At 42.2% G+C, this 7,824-nt stretch overlaps 1 pseudogene; it reads left to right on the top strand.

Moving 5' to 3' along the window:
* Window positions 2,167-2,260, top strand: RNY4P9 (RNY4 pseudogene 9; annotated as a pseudogene).

Genomic DNA, 7,824 nt, shown 5'->3' with positions numbered 1-7,824 from the left:
CAGACTGAAAATTAATCAATGATATATTTTCCATGTTATTTTAGTGATTTAAACTTTGGGAGATAGGTTAAATATGTGAAACGATGAAAATTTTATGAACAATCAGTTTACATATTAAAAACCAGAAAAAGAATTTGGTTTTTAACTGCCTTTGGCTCATCAGGCAAAATTACTGGGCTATGTTGTAACTTGGATTACAAACTATTATGGGTTAAAAATGGTATAAAATTATAATTTGAATTAAGGCTTTTCTAAATCATTAACAAAGACAAATGCATGGTGTTTTGCTCACATCTTTTTACTTTATGTTTACTTAATGTAAGTCTAGATAGTGACCAAAAGCATAGCTGGAGATGTAAGTGAAATCTTGAACGTGGTAAGAGACATTAAATCAATAATTTATTTTAGATAATACAATAACACTGAAAGAGTTGTGAGAAAAGAATCTGTAATCCAAACTGGAATTTTTCTATATGCAGGCATAACCAAGCATAGTACTCGTAAATGGAATATAATCAACTACTACTTATATTAATTTGCATTATTAATGCAACCTGGCAGGGAGACACTGTTGGGAGCGGACTGGGCTGTTCATATGGATGAGTGGAAACAATAGTAGAATCAATTAACTAGTATTCTTCCATTTACTGTGTCAGATATGAGACTGTCTTCTAACTTGCTCTTTTAAAATATTTGGGACCAAATTATTAAAGTAAATAGTGAATATGAACACAGAATAATGTTAGATGTAATCAGTGATTTAAATGAATCACACCATCCATCTTAAGAGTTCTACAGAAATTTAAAGGAAAAGTTGTCCCATTATTGGTTGAAATGTGTGACCTGTAGTCTCGGAGGAATCATTATAATACAGTCATTTAACAATTGAATCACCTATGTGTTGTGTTTCATAAATACAGTTATGTTGCTTAATGATGAGGATAGTTTCCGAGAAATGCACGTTAGGCAATTTCTTCATTGTAGGAACATCATAGAGTGAACTTACACAAACCTAGATGGTACACACCTACACACCTACAGCCTCCTACACACCTAAGCTATGTGGCATAACCCATTGCTCCTGGTCTACAAACCTGTGCAGCACGTCACTGTATGGCCTGCTGTGCACAACTGAAACACAACCACAAGTATTTGTGTATCCAAACATAGAAAAGATACAGTAAAAATATAGTATAAAAGATTTTTTAAAATATATGCTTGTATAGAGTACTTACCATAAATAAATGGAGCTTGCAAGACTGGAAATTGCTCTGGGTGAGTCAGTGAGTAAGTGGGGAGTGAATGTGAAGATCTAGGACATTGCTGTACACTACTACAGTCTTTATAAGCACTGCACACTTAAGCTGGACTAATTAATTAAAATTTTTTCTTCAATAATAAATTAACCTTAGCTTACTCTAACTTTTTTACTTTATAAACATTTAAACTGGGGCCAGGTGTGGTGGCTCACGCCTGTAGTCCCAGCACTTTGGGAGGCCGAGGCGGGCGGATCACGAGGTCAAGAGATCGAGACCATCCTGGCCAACATGGTGAAACCCCGTCTCTACTAAAAATACAAAAAAATTAGCCGAGCATGGTGGCAGGCACCTGTAGTCCCAGCTACTCAGGAGGTTGAGGCAGAAGAATTGCTTGAACCTGGAAGGCAGAGGTTGCAGTGAGCTGAGATCGCGCCACTGCACTCCAGCCTGGCAACAGAGAGAGACTCACTCTCAAAAAAAAAAAAAAAAAAAAAAGTTTAAACTTTTTTAACGTTTTTATTCTTTTGTATTAACGCTTCATTTACAACACAAACACATTGTATAGCTGTACAAAAATATTTTCTTTATATCCTTATTTTATAAGCTTCTTTTAATTTTTTTATTTTTTACTCTTTAATACTTTTTTATTAAAAACCAAGACATAAACACACACATTAGCCTAGGCCTACAAAGGGTCAGGATCATCAATATCACTGCCTTCCACCTCCACATCTTGTCCCACTGGAAGGTCTTCAGGGGCGATAACAGGCATGGAGCTGTCGCCGCCTATAGTAACAACGCCCTCTTTTGGACACCTCCTGAAGGACCTGCCTGATGCTGTTTTACAATTAACTTTTTATATATATGTAAGTAGGAGTACACTCTAATGACAAAAAATTATAGTACAGGTTGGTCCAATGGTAGTGGGTTATCAGAACTTATTAACATTTAGTGTCACTAAAGTTCGTATACAACCCCCCACTGCTAAATTTGAATGGCTTAAATTTTTTTTGGAATAAAACAGGCTGGGTGCAGTGGCTCACGCCTGTCATCCCAGCACTTTGGGAGGCCGAGGCAGGCACATCACTTGAGGTCAGGATTTCAAGACCAGTCTGGCCAATATGCTGAAACCACATCTCTACTAAAAATACAAAAATTAGTCGGGCCTGGTGGCACGCACCTATAATCCCAGCTACTCAGGAGACTGATGCAGAAGAATCACTTGAACCGGGAGGCAGGGGTTGCAGTGAGCCGAGATAGCGCCACTTGATTCCAGCCTGGGCGATAAAGCAAGACCCCGTCTTAAAAAAAGAATAATAGAGTATATACATAAATCAGTAACATAATTATGTACTATCATTATCAAGTATTATGTACTATACATAACTGTGTGTTTATACTTTTATATGACTGGCAGTGCAGTAGGTTTGTTTATACCAGCATCGCCACAAACATGAGTAACATGTTACACTAAGATGTCATGATGACTCTGATATCACTAGGCAACAGGAATTTTTCAGCTCCACTATAATCTTATGGGATATTTGTCATATATGCAGTCCATTGTTGACTGAAACACCAAGTGGTACATGACTGTACTTAAGATAGTCCCTGCCCTAAGGCTGGGCACGGTGGCTCACGCCTGTAATCGCAGCACTTTGGGAGGCCGAGGCGGGAGGATCACGAGGTCAGAAGATCAAGACCATCCTGGCGAACACAGTGAAATCCCATCTCTACTAAAAATACAAAAAAAAAAAAACCAAAAAAAAATTTAGCCAGGCATGGTGGCATGTGCCTGTAGTCCCAGCTACTCAGGAGGCTGAGGCAGGAGAATGGTGTGAACCTGGGAGGTGGAGCTTGCAGTGAGTCATGCAGTGAGCCAAGATTGCACCACTGCACAACAGCCTGGGCGACAGACCAAGACTCTGCCTCAAAAAAAAAAAAGATAGTCCCTGCCCTCAAGGAACTCTGCTGATAATTGTAATTCATTCTTAAGTATGGCTCTAGACTATCCAATATATATTAATAATTGAGAAAAGCAAGTTGTTAAAACATTTGTATGTGTAATTTTATCCATTAAAAAAACTAGAGCTTTACGCAGAGGAAAACGTATGAAGTAATGTATACCAAAATATTATATCTTGGGAATAAGAATACAGAGAACTAGCTCTTTCATATTTATCTGATCATTTTTCTACAGTTAACATGTATTAGCTCACACCTGTAAACCCAGCACTTTGGGAGGCCGAGGCAGGAGCCCAGGAGTTCAAGACCAGCCTGGGCAACATCGCTGCACCCTGTCTCTACAAAAAAAAAAAAAAATGTTTTTTAATTAGCTGGGCATGGTGGAACACATCTGTAGTTCCAGCTACTCGGGAGGCTGAGGTGGAAGAGTCACTTGAACCCTGGTGGTCAAAACTGCACTAAGCCATGATGGCACCCCTGCACTCCAGCCTAGGCAACAGAGCAGGACAAAAAAAAAATTTGGGGGTTCTTGAGTTTTAAAACTTTTTTTAAGTAAAAGGAAAGAAGCATGCTGTAATGAGGCCTGTATACTTAACGATGGTGAATTTTACATCCATAACTAAAAATTCAAAAAGCTACGGTAGTGGCCATGCGCTGTGGCTCACGCCTGTAAGCCAGCCACTTTGGGAGGCCGAGACAGGCAAATCACCTGAGGTCGGGAGTTCGAGATCAGCTTGACCAACATGGAGAAACCCTGTCTCTACTAAAAATACAAAATTAGCCAGGCGTGGTGGCACACGCCTGTAATCCCAGCTACTCGGGAGGCTGAGGCAGGAGAATCGCTTGAACCTGAAAGGGGGAGATTGCGGTGAGACAAGATTGCATCATTGGACTCCAGCCTGGGCAACAAGAGCAAAACTCCGTCTCAAAAAAAAAAAAAAAAGCAACTGTATAATTGCTTAGTTATAGGATACAATCTGTTTCATGGTGATTTATTTAGAAGGAAGGACCCAGACATGTTTGTCAATGGCATGCCAAGCAATAGAATATACCCAGTCTCTAGATCGGGAAGGGAATAGTGCCAGTGAAGCCCTGTGTGGTAAGCCAGTAATAGTAAATCCACGTTTTAATGTTTTTATTTTTTTCAGATGGAGTCTCACTCTGTCTCCCAGGCTGGAGTGCAGTGGTTTGATCTCGGTTCACTGCAAACACCACCTCCCAGGTTCAAGCAATACTCCTGCCTCAGCATCCGGAGTAGCTGGGATTACAGGCATGCACCACCATACCCAGCTAATTTTATTTTTTTGTATTTTTAGTAGAGGCGGGGTTTCACCATGTTGGCCAGACTGGACTCAAACTCCCGGCCTCAAGTGATCCACCCACCTTGGCCTCCCAAAGTGCTGGGATTACATGTGTGAGTCTCCGAGCCTGGCATACACCACATTTTAAGAAAGACACTGATGGCCGGGCACGGTGGCTCACGCCTGTAATCCCAGCACTTTGGGAGGCCAAGGCAGGTGGATCACGAGGTCAGGAGATCGAGACCATCCTGGCTAACACGGTGAAACCCCATCTCTACTAAAAATACAAAAAAATTAGCCGGGCGTGGGGGCGGGTGCCTGTAGTCCCAGCTACTCGAGAGGCTGAGGCAGGAGAATGGTGTGAACCCAGGAGGCGGAGCTTGCAGTGAGCCGAGATGGTGCCACTACACTCCAGTCTGGGCTGACAGAGCGAAACTCTGTCTCACAAAAAAAAAAAAAAAAAAAAAAAAAAGACACTGATAAACCAGTGAAGGCTATGTGACTGCTGAGGGTCTGCTTAATTGATCTATGAATGAATGAATAAATAATCTTTGAAAAACCTGAGAATGTTGGAAGAAAACACTCAATTCACTGGGTAACTGAAGTCAAAATGACTTGCAAAATGCTAATTATTATAGGAATAAGAGTGGAAAAAATGTTCAAAGAAATCCATAGATTGATGTGTGTGCTTCTTGTAAAGGTATCTGAGGAAAGACCGTTATGTATTCAGATATCTGATAGTTCATTGCTTGAAAAACATGAATAGATTCATTCTCTATTGCCCTGGAGGCTGAGAATTATTGAAATGTACCGGGAAGCCATTTTCAGCTTAAGATGGTAAAGAACTTTGCCATCAGTTCACTGCTGAAACTGTTGCCTTGCAACATAATGCAAACTTCCGGTCCCTTGAATTGTTCTAACAGGCTGTTTTTAAAAATGTAGGGTTTATTCTTATTCAGGTATCATGTCTTAGTCCATTTTGGGCTGCTAGAACACAATACCACAGATGAGGTAATATATAATATATGGAAGTTTGTATCTCACATGTCTGGAGGCTGGGAAGTCCAAGATAAAGATGCCAGCATTTGCTGAGGGCCTTCTTGCTGTGTCATCCCATGGTGGAAAGCATCATCACATGGTGAAAGGGAAAAGAGAAAGCAAGATGGGGCAAATCCACTCCCAAGGTAACAGCATTAATCTGTTTATGAGGGCCATGCCCGCATGACCCAAACACCTCCCATTAGGCTCCAACTCCCAACACTACCACAAAGGATCAAGTTTCCAGCACATGAACTGTGGGGATCACATTCAAGCTATAGCATATGGTGAAGCTAACAGATCAGGAGATGACTGCCCTTGAAAAAGTAGTTTGTAACTCACAGTTTCCAAGAGCTGGGGCATGCCACACCATGCAATGCCACGAGCAAGCGCTGGGATCCATCAAGAGGCAGAGAGGCGAGGAGAAAGCATGGCCACGAGTCTTTGTTGTGGTTTCCACAGGCAAGACAAGGTAAGCCAATTTAGGATTCACTTGCTTAAATAATTTCTCAGGCTCTGGGACATAGTGGTTGTGTCCCTATTTGTCTGGTACCTGGCACTGGGGTGACCAGGATGGGAATACTGACCTGGAGTCTAAGAGCCTGTATTATTTATGTGACTGTTCTTCATTAGCACCAATAAACAGCAGTTAATTATTCACCCACCATCATCCCTGGTTACATGGAGACAAGGAGGTGTGGCCCTAAGGGCAGATAGTGAGAAAACATTTGTTTTTTTTGTGTTTGTGTTCTATTCCTGTAATTAGATTGGACTACATACACCAAGGCTCTGGGTTTTGTTTGTTTGTTTGTTTTTGTTTTTTTTTTTTTTTGAGACAGAGTCTTGATCAGTCGCCCAGGCTGGAGTGCAGTGGCACAATCTCGGCTCACTGCAAGCCCCGCCTCCCGGGTTCATGCCATTCTCCTGCCTCAGCCTCCCGAGTAGCTGGGACTACAGGCGCCCGCCACCACACCCGGCTAAATTTTTGTATTTTTAGTAGACACAGGGTTTCACCATGTTAGCCAGGATGGTCTCAATCTCCTGACCTTGCGATCCACCTGCCTCAGCCTCCCAAAGCGCTGGGATTACAGGTGTCAGCCACCGCGCCCGGCCACACCAAGGCTCTTAATATTCACAATTCTTGAAACTAATGAAGTTTACTACATCTATCTTTTGTAGTTGGCACTCTTGAATTTTTTCCTAAACTATTTCTCCAACTAAATTGATATTTAGAAAAGGCTTGTTACAGCCGGGCGTGGTGGCTCACGCCTGTAATTCCAGTACTTTGGGAGGCCGAGTTGGGTGGATCACAAGGTCAGGAGATTGAGACCATCCTGGCCAACATCGTGAAACCCCACCTCTACTAAAAAATACAAAAAATTAGTCAGGCGTGGTGGTGCACGCCTGTAGTCCCAGCCTGCTCTGGAGGCTGAGGCAGGGGCATCGCTTGAACCCGGGAGGTGGAGGTTGCAGTGAGCCGAGATTGCACCACTGCACTCCAGCAAGACTCTGTCTCAGAAAAAAAAAAAAAAAAAAAAAAGGGAACCATAAAGACTTAAAGCCCACAAAAGGCAGCTCTAGTCAAGCACAGTTGCTTCAGTAATTATTGCGAAAATTCTACTTTTGCTTTAATTATTTGAGTAATTGCTGCAATCATCATTAAATGTTGATTGTTCAAAATAACTACTAATTCAGTTGATAGATGTGTCTTGAAATAAACAATACATCTAATCTCCAAATACTAATGTTTTACTTGAATCTATTTTAATGGCTATAAAAATATGGCCCATTTGAATAGAGCCAGGCATGATGGCTCACACCTGTTAATCCCAGCAACTCTGAAGATTGAGGCAGGAGGATCACTTGAGGCCAGGAGTTTGAGACCAGCCTGGGCAACATAGCGAAATCCCATCTCTTAAAAAATGTACAAAAAATTGGCCGGGCGCAGTGGCTCAGGCCTGTAATCCCAACACTTTGGGAGGCGGAGGCGGGCGGATCACGAGGTCAGGAGATCAAGACCATCCTGGCTAACACGGTGAAACCCCGTCTCTTCTAAAAAATACAAAAAAATTAGCCTGGCGTGGTGGTGGGCGCCTGTAGTCCCAGCTACTCAGGAGGCTGAGGCAGGAGAATGGCGTGAACCCAGGAGGCAGATCTTGCAGTGAGCTGAGATGGCGCCACTGCACTCCAGCCTGGGCGACAGAGCGAGACTGTGTCTCAAAAAAAAAAAATTTACAAAAAAGTACTTGGGCATGATGTTG

The sequence above is a fragment of the Homo sapiens genome, chromosome 13 (assembly GCF_000001405.40).
Source record: "Homo sapiens chromosome 13, GRCh38.p14 Primary Assembly".
NCBI lineage: Eukaryota > Metazoa > Chordata > Mammalia > Primates > Hominidae > Homo > Homo sapiens.
Note: the sequence above shows the minus strand (reverse complement) of the source record. Positions and strands in the feature narration are given on the sequence as shown.